The sequence below is a fragment of the Homo sapiens genome, chromosome 17, assembly GCF_000001405.40.
Source record: "Homo sapiens chromosome 17, GRCh38.p14 Primary Assembly".
Taxonomy (NCBI): Eukaryota; Metazoa; Chordata; class Mammalia; order Primates; family Hominidae; genus Homo; species Homo sapiens.
In genome coordinates, this window is record NC_000017.11 from 1,439,818 (window position 1) to 1,455,359 (window position 15,542).

A 15,542-nucleotide genomic window follows, 5' to 3' on the forward strand; every position below is an offset into this window, starting at 1 on the left:
GGGCAACAGAGCAAGACTCTGTGTCAAACAAACAAAAAAAAGAAAATGAATTTTGTTGGGCGTGGTGCCTCACACCTGTAATCCTAGAACTTTAGGAGGCTGAGGTGGGAGGATCACTTAAGTGCAGGATTTTGAGACCAGCGTAGGCAACACAGCCAAGACCTCATCACTACAAAAATTATTTAAAAATTAGCCAGGTTGGACAGGCGCGGTGGCTCACGCCTGTAATCCCAGCACTTTGGGAGGCTGAGGCAGGTGGATCACAAGGTCAGGAGATCAAGACCATCCTGGCTAACACGGTGAAACCCCGTCTCTACTAAAAATACAAAAAATTAGCTGGGCGTGGTGGTGGGCACCTGTAGTCCCAGCTGCTAGGGAGGCTGAGGCAGGAGAATGGCATGAACCCAGGAGGCAGAGCTTGCGGTGAGCCGAGATCGCGCCACTGCACTCCAGCCTGGGCGACAGAGCGGGACTCTGTCTCAAAAAAAAAAAAAAAATTAGCCAGGCATAGTGGTGCATGCCTGCAGTTGCAGCTACTTGGGAGGCTGAGGTGAGAGATCGCTTGAGCCTAGGAGTTTGTGAGTACACTGAGCCATGATCGTGTCAACGCACTCCAGCCTGGGGGACCGAGCAAGACCTTGACTCTTAAAAAAAGAAAAAATAAATGTTTGAAAAAAAATGACTGGGCACAGTGGTTTACGTCTGTAATCCCAGCACTTTGGGAGGCCAAGGCAGGAGGACTGATTGAGGCCAGTAGTTCAAGACCAGCCTGGGCAATAAAGTGAGACCCAATCTCCTAAAAAAACAAAAAACAAGCCGGGCACGTGGCTCACACCTGTAATCCCAGCACTTTGGGAGGCCGAGGCGGGTGGATCATGAGGACAGGAGAGCGAGACTTCGTCTCAAAAACAAACAAACAAACAAACAAAAAAACCATTAGCCAGGCAAGGTGGTGCATGTCTGTTAGTCCCAGCTTCTCGAGAAGCTGAGGTGGGAGAATCGCCTGAGCCCAGGGAGTCAAGGCTACCGTGAGTCGTGATCATGCCACTGCATTCCAGCCTGGGCAAAAGAGAGAGACCTTGTCTCAAAAAACCTAAAATCCAAATGAGTTTTGTGAGTTTTTGGCTTTGTTGTTGTCTTGTGACAGAGTGGTCTGGCTCTGTCACCCAGGCGGGAGTGCAGACCTCAGCTGAGTGCAACCTCTACCTCCCAGGCTGAAGCCATCCTCTTACCTCAGCCTCCTGAGTAGCTGGGCCTACAGGCACGCATCACCACGCCCAACTAATTTTTTGTAGTAATGGGATTTCGCCATGTTGCCCAAGCCAGTCTCGAATTCCTGAGCTCAAGTTATCCATCTGCCTTGGCCTCCCAAAGTGCTAGTATTACAGGCGTGAGCCACCACGCCTGGCCTTGGCTTTGTTTTTTGAGACAGGAGACTCCCTATGTGGCCCAGGCTCATCTTAAACTCCTGGGTCCAGCGATCCTCTCACCTTAGTCTCCTGAGTACATGATTTTGTTATTTCTTTTTAGAGACAGGGTCTAACTCTGTTGTCCAAGCTGGAGTGCAGTAGTGTGATCACAGCTCACCGCAGTCTCAAACTCCTGGGCTCAAGATATTCTCCCACCTCAGCCTTCTGAGTAGCTGGGACTAAAGGTGCGGGTGGCATTGCACCCAGCTGATTTTTTTTTTTGAGATGGAGTCACATTCTTGTCACCCAGGCTGGAGTGCACTGGAGCCATCTTGGCTCACGGCAACCTCCACCTCCCGGGTTCAAGCAACTCTCCTGCCTCAGCCTCCCGAGTAGCTGGGACTACAGGCCCGCGCCACCACACCCGGCTAATTTTTGTATTTTTAGTAGAGACAAGGTTTCACCATCTTGGCCAGGCTGGTCTACAACTCCTGACCTCGTGATCCATCCACCTCGGCCTCCCAAAGTGCTGGGATTACAGGCGTGAGCCACTGTGCCCGGCCCTTCACCCAGCTGATTTTGAAATTTTTTTTATAGAGACAGTGTCTTGCTTTACTGCCCAGGCTGCGGTTTTGTTTTTGTTTTCTGAGATAGGGTCTGGCTCTGTGGCCCAGGCTGGAGTGCAGTGGCATGATCTTGGCTCACTGAAACCTCCACTTCCTGGGCTCAAGCCATTCTTTCACCTCAGCCTCCCAAGTCGCTGGGACTACAGGCATGCACTACCATGCCTGTATTTTTTTTTGTATTTTTTGTAGAGACAGGGTTTCACCATGTTGCCCAGGCTGGTCTTGAACTCCTGAGCTCCAGAGATCCACTTGCCTCTGCCTCCGAAAGTGCTGGGTTTAGAGGTGTGAGCCAGGGCGCCCGGCCTGTTTTTTTTTTTTTTGAGACAGGGTCTTGTTCTGTCACCCAGGCAGGGGTGCAGTGGCATAATCTCAGCTCACTGCAGCCTCCACTTCCTAGGCTCTAGTAATCCTCCCACCTCAGCCTCCTGAGCAACTGGGACTATAGGCGCACACCACACCTGGCCAGTTTTTGTATTTTTTGTGGAGATGGGGTTTTGCTATGTTGCCCACGCTGGTCTCAAACTCCTGGGCTCAAGTGATCGGCCCACCTTGGCCTCCCAGAGTACTGAGATTGCAGATGTGCACCACTGCAGTACTGAGATTGCAGATGTGAGCCAGTGCCGTACTGAGATTACAGATGTGAGCCACTGCATCCAGCCTATTATTAATTTTAATTATATGTGAGCCACTGCATCCAGCCATTATTAATTTTAATTATTTGCTTATTGGGATTTTTCTTGTGTGTGAAAGGGTCTTTTTTTTTTTTTTTTTTGAAGACAGAGTCTTGCTCTGTCTCCCAAGCTGGAGTGCAGTGGCTGGATGTCGGCTCACTGCAACCTCCACCCTCTGTGTTCAAGCAATTCTTCTGCCTCAGCGCCCCAAGTAGCTGGGATACAGGTGTGTGCCACCATGCCTGGCTAATTTTTGTAATTTCAGTAGAGACACAGTTTCACCATGTTGGCCTGGCTGGTCTCAAACTCCTGACCTCAAGTGATCTGACCGCCTTGGCCTCCAAAAGTGCTGGGATGACAGGCGTGAGCCACTGTGCCTGGTATGTGACAGGGTCTCACTCTGCTGTCCAGGCTGGAGTGCAGTGGCGCAAACTCAGCTCACAGCAACCTCCCTTTCTTTCTTTTTTTTTTTTGAGACGGACTCTTGCTCTGTTGCCCAGGCTGGAGTGCAGTGGTGCGATCCTGGCTCACTGCAACCTCTCTCTCCTGGGTTCAAGTGATTCTCTTGCCTCAGCTTCCCAAGTAACTGAGATTACAGGCGGCCACCACGACACCAAGGTAATTTTTTATATTTTTAGTAGAGATGGGGGTTTCACCACGTTGGCAAGGCTGGTCTCGAACTCCTGACCTCAGGTGATCCCACCGACTTCAGCCTCTCAAAGTGTTGGGATTACAGGTGTGAGCCACTGCACCCGGCCGCAGCCTCCACTTTCTAGGCTTAAGCAATTCTACAGTCTCAGCCTCCCAAATAGCTGGGACTATAGGCACAAGCCACCCACCAACACACAGCTAATTTTTGTATTTTTTATTTTTACTTTATTATCATTTTTTTGAGACAGAGTCTCACTGTTGCCCAGGATGGAGGGCAGTGGTGCAATCTTGGCTCACTGCAAGCTCTGCCTCCCAGGTTCACGCCATTCTCCTGCCTCAGCCTCCCAAGTAGCTGGGACTACAGGCGCCCGCCACCACGCCCGGCTAATTTTTTTTTGTATTTTTTAGTAGAGACGGGGTTTCACCATGTTAGCCAGGATGGTTTCGATCTCCTGACCTCGTGATCCACCCACCTCGGCCTCCTAAAGTGCTGGAATTACAGGCGTGAGCCACCGCGCCCAGCCCCACTTTTTTTTATTTTTTGAGATGGAGTCTCTTTCTGTTGCCCAGGCTGGAGTGCAGTGGCAGGATCTCGGCTCAATGCAACCTCTGCCTCCTGGGTTCATGCAATTCTCCTGCCTCAGCCTCCCAAGTAGCTGGGATTATAGGCACCCGCCACCACGCCCGGCTAATTTTTTTGTATTTTTAGTAGAGATGGAGTTTCACCATATTGGCCAGGCTGGTCTTGAACTCCTGACCTTGTGATCCGCCCGCCTCGGCCTCCCAAAGTGCTGGGATTACAGGCGTGAGCCACCCCGCCTGGCCTATTTTTTTTTTTTAATAACGGGGTTTTGCCATGTCGCCCAGGCAGGTCTTGATCTCCTGAGCTCAAAGTAATCCTCTTCCCCCTTGGCCTCCCAAAGTGTTGGGATTATAGGCATGAGCCACCGTGCCTGGTCTTGTTAATTTTGAGAGCAGGTTTTTGCTGCCCAAGCTAAACTGCAGTAGCTATGCACAGACACCATCACTGCACACTGTGGCCTTGTACTCCTGGCCTGGAGTCATCCTCCTGCCTCAGACTCCTGGGTAGCTGGGACCATAGGTGTGCACCACCACGCCCAGCTAAAGACCTAATTATTTCGTTCAATGTTAGAAACATCCTGGCTAACACACAGTAAGAACCCATCTCTACCGAAAAAAATACAAACGCCAGGCAGGGTGGTGCGCGCCTTTAGTCCCAGCTACTTCGGAGGCTGAGGTGGATTGCTTGAACCTGGGAGGCGGAGCCTGCAGTGAGTCAAGACTGCGCCACTGCCCTCCAGCCTGGGTAACAGAGGGAGAGCCTGTCTCAATTAAAAAAATAAAAAAAGCTGGGCGTGGTGGCTCAGGCCTGTAATCCCAGCACTTTGGGAAGCCGAAGCGGGGGGGGGGATCACCTGAGATCGGGAGTTCGAGAGCAGCCTGACCAACATGGAGAAACCCCGTCTTTACTAAAAAAAAAAATACAAAATTAGCCAGGCGTGAGTCTCATGCCTGTAATCCCAGCTACTTGGGAGGCTGAGGCAGGAGAATCGCTGGAACCCGGGAGGTGGAGGCTGCGGTGAGCTGAGATCGCACCATTGCACTCCAGCCTGGGCAACAAGAGCAGAACTCCATCTCAAAAGAAAAAAAAAAAAAAAAGAATGGCATAGGGGCCAGGCACGATGGCTCATGCCTGTAATCCCAGCACTCTGGGAGGCCGAGGCAGGCGGATCACGAGGTCAGGAGATCCAGACCACCCTGGCTAACATGGTGAAACCCTGTCTCTACTAAAAATACAAAAAATTAGCCGGGCATGGTGGCGGGCGCCTGTAGTCCCAGCTACTCGGGAGGCTGAGGCAGGAGAATGGCATGAACCTGGGAGGCAGAGCTTGCAGTGAGCCAAGATCGCGCCACTGTACTCCAGCCTGGGCGACAGAGCGAGACACCGTCAAAAAAAAAAAAAAATCATTCCACTATTGGAGAGAGGTAATAAGACACAATGTTAACTTTGGAAGCCAATGAAAAGTCCTTCCGGTAGAAAGAGTACTGATGAGTGCCTTCTCTTTCCATCCAAATGAATGATGAGACCATCTGAAGGAGAGCCGTACATTTTTCATATTACCCAAAGTCCACCTGTGGAATTCACAGCTGTCAGCTTAAAACAGTGAACAGCCCAGACTCAGGAATACTGGCTGTCTCTCCAATTTAAGACACTGAAAGGGGTGCGAGTGCCAGGACTGTCCTCTATGGCAAACACTCCTCATGCACCAATAGAAGATGATCGCAAAAGTTCCGAGGGCAGGACTGGAGAGGGGATTTTGGTTATGACTGTAGCAGAGCACGGAGGTGCTATATTCTGGAGATTCTCTTTATTGAGGAGGATCACTGATGGAGAATAATTCCTATTCAAGTCTGGTAGTCAAGGAGATTCATGGCTACCTTGCCTATCACCATTAGGCTAATTCTGGGTGATCTTTCAGGCCTATGGAGAAACTGTTTAGGACAGGGTCAGTGTGAGCGCATAGGGACCTACTTAGCACTGCCTGGTCAAGAAAACTCTAGGGCAGAGTGGTAAGGAGGCCACCTGGGCACCCATGGCTTAGAAATGGTTCTGATCACAGCTGGGTGGAGAAAAGCTCCCTTGCTAAGGTTTACCCAACTACATGCCAAGGTGTTCTATTAGTTGTCCTTTTGGGACAGTGGTTGGCAGGTCAGTGCTCAGTTAAGTGTTGCTAATTTTTATATTTTTAGAAGAGATGGGGTTTCACCATGTTGGCCAGGATGGTCTTGATCTCTTGACCTTGTGATCTGCCTGCCTCGGCCTCCCAAAGTACTGGGATGACAGGCATGAGCCACCGCGCCCAGCCAGATATTATCTTAATAAGCCTAACTCTGAAGTGATGGAAAGAAGCTAAGCACAATGCCTTCCTAGACTGGAGAAGCTCAGAGAAGTTCACAGCATTGTTGGAGATAACACAGCAAGCACAGTGTGGCTGGTGAACAAGGAGAAAGCGGCACGTCTTAGGAAGACAACCTCCCACCCGGCTTTCACCTTCACCTGGATCTATGTTCCTGCTAAAGACAGTTGGAATAACGCACTGTGTCCTGAGATACAACAGAATCGCCATGAGCAACTACGACCATCTGTGAACACTTCCAAGGTACTCTCTCCACTGGAAGAAGGAAGGTAACCACCCCCTGCCAGCCACTGTTACCATAGCAGGCCGAGCGAAATACATTTTGGCGGGGAAAGAACAAATGAGACTACTAAGCCAAGTCGCTCTGAAAGATGAGTGAGAGAAAACTTGGCAGATCATCTGGCGCAAAGGTAGGAAGCAGGTTTAATTCTCTTCTTGGTCAAATGCCACAATAGCGTGAACTGGGCTCACTATGACTTTTTTTTTTTTTTTTTTTGAGGCGGAGTCTCGCTCTTTCGCCTAGGCTGGACTGCAGTGGCGCCATCTCGGCTCACTGCAAGCTCCGCTTCCTGGGTTCACGCCATTCTCCTGCCTCAGCCTCCCGAGCAGCTGGGACTACAGGTGCCCGCCACCACGCCCGGGTTTTTTTTTCTGTATTTCTAGTAGAGACGGGGTTTCACCGTGTTAACCAGGATGGTCTCGATCTCCTGACCTCGTGATCCGCCCGCCTCGGCCTCCCAAAGTGCTGGGATTACAGGCGTGAGCCACCACGCCCGGCCGTGACTTTCTTTTTGTTTGGCAATCCCAATAGACACAGAAACGTAAGCAAAACGCCACGGAAAACCTTTGATGTACTTTACTTATAAATTATTTTTCTATTCTGACACTGTAATAATTTCACAGAGAAATGCCCGTTTCTGTGAACTGCTGGGGGCCATCAAGCTTCATTGATCCAAACTCCAGAAGGAAGGGAGGAGAACAGAACACACATAAGTCCCAGATAAGCCCAAACCTCACCATGGCTGTGTGTTCCGGCTCCTTTTCTCTCTTTCCTCTCCTTCCAACCACAAACAGCCAAAGGCAGGAAATAGAAGGGCGGGAAAGGAAGGAGGCACAGTCAGCCAGTCTAGAGAACAGAAGCAACGACAGGATTCTCATAGCTATCTGGGACTTGGAAAACCTCAATGACTTGTTCTACATCACCCTGTGCTGGATTCTGAACGTGGAGTTAGGAAGTCACACAAACGGAAATCAAAATCAATGCAAGGAGAGGATATCCTTTCAGCTTCTCGGTACCTGCTCAGCCCGTTACTTCTAAGCCTTCCAAGCATTTCAAGCCTCAGGTTACGACCATTTTTACAAGGCCACTCCCTCCCTGAAGGTTTCATGAAGAACACCTGAGGGCTCTGTGGGCTAAAATAGGCCCAATCACTTCTGACGGGTCTACAAGAGCGGGCCAGGCTCTCCTTGATCTCACAGCACTTTCTCTTTTCCTTTTTTTTTTTTTTTTTTTGAGACGGAGTCTCCCTCTGTTGCCCAGGCTGGAGTACAGTGGTGCGATCTCAGCTCACTGCAACCTCTGCCTCCTGCCTCCTGGGTTCAAGCAATTCTCCCTTCCTTAGCCTCTCGAGTAGCTGGGATTACAGGCGCCCACCACCACACCTGGCTAATTCTTGTATTTTTAGGAAAGACAGGGTTTTGCCATGTTGGCCAGGCTGGTCTCGAACTCCTGACCTCAAGTGATCAGCCAGCCTCAGCCTCCCAAAGTGCTGGGATTACAGGCGCGAGCCACCACACCCGGCCCTCTTTTCCCTTTTTTCCTCAATTCTTGCTCCCTCCCTTCCTTCTCTGCCTGTGGTATTTACAGGGGTTGCTTAGATAAATACCCACCAATACAAAACGCTAAAAAGGCCACTGGCTCGGGAGGCTGAGGCAGGAGAATCGCTTGAACCCGGGAGGCGGAACTTGCAGTGAGCAGAGATCGCGCCACTGCACTCCAGCCTGGGCGACAGAAGGCCACTGGTTTCCATCTGAGAAGATATATGGTCTCCTAAGCAAATAGAATGTTCTAAAGATGGTGGGTATGAGGACGGTCCTTTGCAGGTTTGGTGCATTGTGGCTCTCATTTTCTAGCTGTCTGAGTTACCTAACTTCTGTGTGCCTCACCCCCGACTCTGCAAAATGGGGTCAAATACCTATCTAATAAATAAAGTTCCTAAAGTGGCTAGAGGCTGGGCGTGGGGGTTCACGCCTGTAATCCCAGTACTTTGGGTGGCAGAGCCAGGCAAATCACTGAGGTCAGGAGTTCAAGACCAGCCTGATCAACATGGTGAAACCCATCTCTACTAAAAATGCAAAAATTAGCTGGGCATGGTGGTGCACGCCTGTAGTCCCAGCTGCTGGGGAGGCTGAGGCAGGAGAACTGCCTGAACCTGGGAGGCAGAGCTTGCAGTGAGCCGAGAATATGCCATTGCACTCCAGCCTGGGTGAGAGCAAGACTCCATCTCAAAAAAAAAAAAAAAAAAAAAAGAAAAAGTGGCTCGTACATTATAGGTGCTCAATAAAAAGCAACCAATTCTCCAAATTCCTTCAGCAATTTTCAATTCATCCTCAAATCCAGAGCCCACTGGACCGTTTCCCAGAGAAAATTCCACAGGATCTCAAGATGCTTCTCAAAAGTTCTGTGGTCAGGCAGGTGCGGTGGCTCACACCTGTAATCTCAGCACTTTGGGAGGCTGAGGCAGGAGGATCTCTTTATTTTTTTCTCTATTTTTAAAAACTGATTAACCAATCTTTAGGGAGACATCTGTTGAGGCCAGGAGTGCAAGCCCAGCCTGGGTCATACAGTGAGGCTGTAGTGAGCTATGACGGAGCCACTGCACACCAGCCTGAGCAACAGGGCCATCAGCAGTCTCACGCTACCTCCAGAAGTGGCTTGGCCCAGCTGCCAGCCTGGCATGTAGCTCTTCACTACCTCGAGGGAGTATCACAAACTATTACCACCCTAGCTTCTGTCCCACGCCTTCAAAATGAAGCACGTTTTATGCCCCCCTCCACCCACTAGCGCAACAGGTCGGATGAGCAGGTAACAGGAGGCACCATCTTATTTCCAAGTGCTGGACCCGAGGTCCTTTCACACTTACGGATGCACTCCACCCAGGCACCTACTCCCCAAGACAAACTGTTTCACCAGTTCCTACCATCCACAGCATGAATTCCACAGCCTCTCAAAGATAAGAAGTTTTCCATTTTGCTTCAAAAGCCCCCACACCTCAGTTATGTTATTAAGATTCGTATACATGAAATGCTTATGGAGTACTTAGTATGCCAGTACTGAATATGGAGTATCATTCCAACAACCCTATGAGATCAGTATTACTATTTCCCTCCTTCACAGATGAGGAAACTGAAGCAGGGAAAAGTTAAACAATTTGCCCAAAGTTACACAAGCAGTAAGTGGTAGGTAAATAAGGCCCAACCCAGGATCCACAGCTCAAGCTTATAACGACTCTCCTAACTCACACTCCTTCAGCTGTGTCAACCTGAAAGGTTTAGCTGTTCAAGAGAAAAAAAACTAGTTTCTTGCAAGCATTCCAAGGAGGTCCATCTTGAAGCCCAACCTGACAGAATGTGACCAGTAGACTTGGCCAAGCCCTTCCTTATGGCCCCAGGGAACTCCCAAGCTATGGCACCACAGGAAGCCTATGCAAGCTGAGGACCCAAGACAAGTTAAAAACAGGTTCAACGGAAAAGGCTGAGAATCACTGGCCCATTCTGTACCCATGCCTTTAAAAATAATACCCAGCTGCGCACGGTGGCTCACGCCTGTAATCCTAACACTTTGGGAGGTCAAGGCAGGTGGATTACTTGAGGTCAGGAGATCGAGACCAGCCTGGCCAACATGGTGAAACCCCCATCTCTACTAAAAATACAAAAAAATTAGCTGGGAGTGGTGGCGCATGCCTGTAATCCCAGCTACCTACTCAAGAGGCTGAGGCAGGAGAATGGCTTGACCCGGGAGGGGGAGGTTGCAGTGAGCTGAGATCGTCCCACTGCACTCCAGCCTGGGCAACAGAGCAAGACTCTGTCTCAAAACATAAATAAAGTTTAAAAAATAAGGCGCGGTGGCTCAGGCCTGTAATCCCAGCACTTTGGGAGGCCAAGGTGGGCGGATCACGAGGTCAGGAGCTCAAGACCATCCTGGCTAACACGGTGAAACACCTCTCTACTAAAAATACAAAAAATTAGCCGGGCATAGTGGCGGGCGCCTGTAGTCCCAGCTGCTCAGGAGGCTGAGGGAGGAGAATGACGTGAACCCGGCAGGCGGAGCTTTCAGTGAGCCGAGATCGCGCCACTGCCCTCCGGCCCGGCGTGGGCGACAGAGCGAGATTCTGTCTCAAAAAAAGAAAAAAAACACATAAAAATGACACCTAAGCCATTCCATATAATTTTCACCTATGCACTGTGTAAACAAAATATACTCTGTAGGCTAGATGCGATGGCTCACACCTGTAATCCCAGCACTTTGGGGAAGCCGAGGCGAGCGGATCACTTGAGGCCAGGAGTTCAAGACCAGCCTGGACAACGTGGCAAAACCCCGTCTGTACTAAAAATACAAAAAAATTGGCTGGGCATGGTGGCGCATGCCTGTAATCCCAGCTATTTGGGAGACTAAGGCAGGAGAACTGCTTGAACCCAGGAGGTGGAGGGTACAGTGAGCTGAGATCGCGCCACTGCACTCCAGACGGGGCAACAAGAGCGAAACTCCCTCTCAAACAAAACAAAACAAAACAAATAGGCCGGGCGCGGTGGCTCACACCTGTAATCCCAGCACTTTAGGAGGCCGAGGCAGGCAGATCACAAGGTCAGGAGATCGAGACCATCCTGGCTAACACGGTGAAACCCCATCTCCACTAAAAATACAAAAAATTAGCCGGGCGTGGTGGCGGGCGCCTGTAGTCCCAGCTACTCGGGAGGCTGAGGTAGGAGAATGGCATGAACCCCACGGGGCGGAGCTTGCAGTGAGCCGAGGTCGTGCCACTATACTCCAGCCTCGGTGACAGAGCGAGAAACTGTCTCAAAAAAAAAAAAAAAAAAAGCAATAACAATTTTAAAAAGCTTCTTCATCATTGACTTTAGATAGCAGATGTGTATTGTCTGAATAATAAAGCCAGTGGCACGATCTCAGCTCACTGCAACCTCTGCCTCCGGGGTTCAAGCGATTCTCGTGCCTTAGCCTCTCCAGCAGCTAGGATTACAGGCGTCCGCCACCACGCCCAGCTAATTTTTGTATTTTTTAGTAGAAACAAGGTTTCACCATGTTGGCCAGGCTGGTCTCGAACTCTTGACCTCAAGTGATCCACCCTCCTTGGCCTCTCAAAGTGCTGGAATTACAGGCATGAGCCACTGCGCCCGGCCTCTTCTTGCCATTCTTTAATTCTGGTCTTTAAAAAACCTGGGCTGGATGCGGCTGTATGTGCCTGTAGTCCCAGCTACTCACAGCCTGAGTCAGAAGGGCTGCCTGCCCCAAAGTTAAGGGCTGTAGTGCACTATGACTGTGCCTGTCAACAGCCACTGCACTCCAGTTTGGGCAACATAGTGGGGGGAAAAAAAAACAAAAAACACAAGGCCGAGGTGGGCGGATCACCTGAGGTCAGGAGTTCGAGACCAGCCTGGCCAACATGGTGAAACCCCGTGTCTACTAAAAATACAAAAAAAAAAATTAGCTGGGCACAGTGGCACATGCCTGTAATCCCAGCTACTCGGGAGGCTGAGGCAGGAGAATCACTTGAACCTGGGAAGCAGAGGTTTCAGTGAGCCGAGACTGCACCACTGCACTGTAGCAGCCCGGGGGGCAAGAGCGAAACTCCATCCAAAAACAACAAAACAAAAAACACCAAGTCTTAGACTCCAGGGCAGAGGCAAAGTATTGAGGATATTGAGGATACGGACCTCTATGTGCACTGCTGAGATGCCAAAAGAACGCTGGCTTTGAGAGTGTAGTGTAAAAGGGTCAGCTCTCAGGTCAGAATGCCTAGGTTCAACTTCTGAAAGTCATTTATTAGTTGTGTGACCTTAAGCAAGTTACTGAATCTATGAGTGTTTCCTCCTGTATAAAATGGGAATATTTTAATAAATGGAGATCATATTACTTATCTCACTAGATTGTCCTAGACAGTAAGTGAAATAAGGTACATAAAGTACTCAAAGTACCTGGCACAGAATAACCAGTCAATAAACATTAGTTATTAATATTCTATACGCCTCTCTAAAAAATTCAAGAAATTTCTCTGTGTGACTTCAAAAGGACTTGGTGAGGGGGAGAACAAAGATTCAGTACTTAGTACTTGAGATTTGTGAGGTACAAAGTAATTCTGAGGTTATACAGACAGGCCAGGCGCTGGTGGCTCACGTCTGTAATCCCAGCACTTTGGGAGGCCGAGGTGGGTGGATGATCAGAGTTCAGCAGTTCGAGACCAGCCTGGCCAACATGGTGAAACCCCATCTCTACTAAAAAAATACAAAAATTAGCTGAGCATGGTGGTGGGCGCCTGTAATTCCAGCTACTCAGGAGGCTGAGGCAGGAGAATTGATTAAACCTAGAAGGCAGAGGTTGCAGTGGGCCAATATCGCGCCATTGCGCTCCAGCGTGGGAGACAAGAGTAAAAACTCGGTCTCAAAAAGAAAAAAAAAAAAAAAGACAGCAACTGACCAGGCACAGTGGCTCACACCTGCAGTTCCAAAACTTTGGGAGCCTGAAGCATGAAGTCTATTGAGATCAGGAATTTGAGACCAGCCTGGACAATACCGTGAGACCCCTCATCTCTACAAAAAAATTTTCAACAGTTAACCAGGCATGGTGGATACGCCTGGAGTCCCAGCTACTCAGGAGGATGAAGTGGGAGGATGGCTTGAGCCCAGGAGGTCAAGGCTGCAGTGAGCTGTGTTCATGCCACTGCACTCCAGCTTGGGTGACAGAGGCTCTGTCTCAGAAGAGAGAAAAAGACAGCAACTGAATCGTAGAAAATGGGGTACAACATGGCAGAAAGAATTATCACAATACTCGTGAATTTTCCACACCCCATCCATAAACTTTGGCAATCTTCACCGTCTTTCCTCAGCCAAGGAACTGAGTTCTTATCTGTTTTGAAAAGGTGGTGCTCGATTATCACGGTAAGTGTTGAGACATAAAATCGTTATGCTAAGATATGAAAAAATATCAAACTAACAAACCTGCCTGCTGCCATTTTCAACTTTGGCAACCAACAAACACAAACAAAAGGCTGAAAAGTGAGTTTCAATGACAGTTTGCCATCATGTGACGACATATAATGCAAAACCCCAGATACTATGCAGGTGGCATCAAAGTAGAATATATCTGGTTCAGGGCCAACACAGGTACATCAATATTCCCATCTCATAATACTATTAAACAGGCCACAATGAGAAAGATCTAGGATAATTTGTGAGCTTATAGACCCCATACTCATTTTTAAAAAATGGTTGTGTTAGACTGGGTGTGGTGGCTCACGCCTGTAATCCCAACACTTTGGGAGTCTGAGGTGGGCAGATCACCTGAGGTCAGGAGTTCGAGACCAGCCTGGTCAACTTGGCGAAACCCCAACCCTACTAAAAATACAAAAACTAGCCAGGCGTAGTGGAGTGTGCCTGTAATCCCAGCTACTAGGGAGGCTGAGACAGGAGAATCCTTTGAACCCGGGGAGGTAGAGATTGCAGTGAGCTGAGATTGCACCATCGCACTCCAGCCTGGGCAACAAAAGCGAAACTCCGCCTCAAACAAACAAAGCTGGGTGCGGTGGCCCACGCCTGTAATCCCAGCATTTTGGGAGGCAAAGGCGAGTGGATCACCTGAGATCAGGAGTTCAAGACCAATCTGGCCAACCTGGTAAAACCCCATCTCTACTAAAAATACAAAAAATTAGCTGGGCGTGGTGGTGATGCACACCAGCAATCCCAGCTACTCAGGAGGCTGAGGCAGAATCACTTGAACCCAAAAGGCAAAGGTTGCAGTGAGCCAAGATCGCGCCACTGCACTCCAGCCTGGGCGACAGAGAGACTCCGTCTCAAAATAAATAAATAAGTAAGAAATAAATAAGAAAAATTTTAAAAAAATTAGTATGTGTTGGCCAGGCGCGGTGGCTCTTGCCTGTAATCCCAGCACTTTGGGAGGCCGAGGCTGGTGGATCACCTGAGGTCAGGAGTTCGAGACCAGCCTGGCCAACCTGGTGAAACTTCGTCTCTACGAAAAATACAACATTAGCTGGTTATGGTGGCGGGTGCCTGTAATCCCAGCTACTTGGGAGACTGAGACAGGAGAATCGCCGTGAGCCGAGATTGCGCCACTGTGCTCCAGCGTGGGTGACAGAGCAAGACTCCGTCTTAGAAAAGAGTAAAATAAAAATTGGTGTGTGTTAACAAAGAGACTGCCTATCCAATTCTCTATTTCTGGCCGGAGCGAGTAAATCTAAATTAGAACTATTCTACAAGGGCAAGTCTACAAAGGACGGCTCAAGAGCTTCCTGATTCATATGAGACTAGTCTGAACCCATTCTCAGCTGGCCAAGAAGAAACTGCTTCGACTTGGCAACAGCGTGAAGGCACGAGGACTCCTGATGCTGTTACACAGGTACACATACAATGAGAACCCCAGAATTACTTTGTACCTCACAAATCTCCAGTACTAAGGGCATCTATCTATTCCCTTAAAACAGTCCCAAATCAACTCCAACGGCATCGGTAAGACAGTCAATCTCAGGGATCCCTCCCTGGCAAGGAAAACCCAGCGCAGGTAATTTATGTTCTTGGCGTAGAGTCTGTTCCCAATATCCAGGAAGACTCAGCCCGCAGCCCCATCTTACTGAGCAAGGTGACGCCCTGAAGTACACACCGACAATGTTTAAGTCCAAGGAAAATGAAGTTCCAGTCACTTACAGGGAAGGGTCTGTTTCCATTGCCTCACTTCTGGTTTATTTTGTGGAATAAAATGTCTTTCCTCCACTAAACACTTTGAAAACCAGAACTCTCTAACGGCGGACAGTCTTCTGGACGCTTAGATCTCTTGCACATAGCCAGGCATCGCCTTAAACTGGGTTGGGCTGGTCACTGAAGGCTTTCTGCTACCACTATTTCTTCTAGCACTTAGTTCACCACCTTCGTCCTCCACGGGGGAAGAGAACGGTACAAAGATTTTGGAAAAATGCCCAAGAAAGGAAAAAATTGACCGGT

The 15,542-nt window shown here is 49.3% G+C and overlaps 1 protein-coding gene across 2 annotated transcripts in view, besides 1 other annotated feature; it reads right to left on the bottom strand.

The window, feature by feature from the left end:
* CRK (CRK proto-oncogene, adaptor protein) overlaps positions 1-15,542 on the bottom strand; it is a 35,540-nt gene that overhangs the window by 19,125 nt on the left and 873 nt on the right. The window lies entirely within an intron of this gene.
* Positions 13,948-14,449: an enhancer, noted in NCBI's record as "H3K4me1 hESC enhancer chr17:1357059-1357560 (GRCh37/hg19 assembly coordinates)". NCBI's record gives its function as "activates a minimal SCP1, AML or CMV promoter by ChIP-STARR-seq in primed H9 embryonic stem cells {active_cell/tissue: H9 hESC(primed)}" and the evidence as "EXISTENCE:reporter gene assay evidence [ECO:0000049][PMID:30033119]".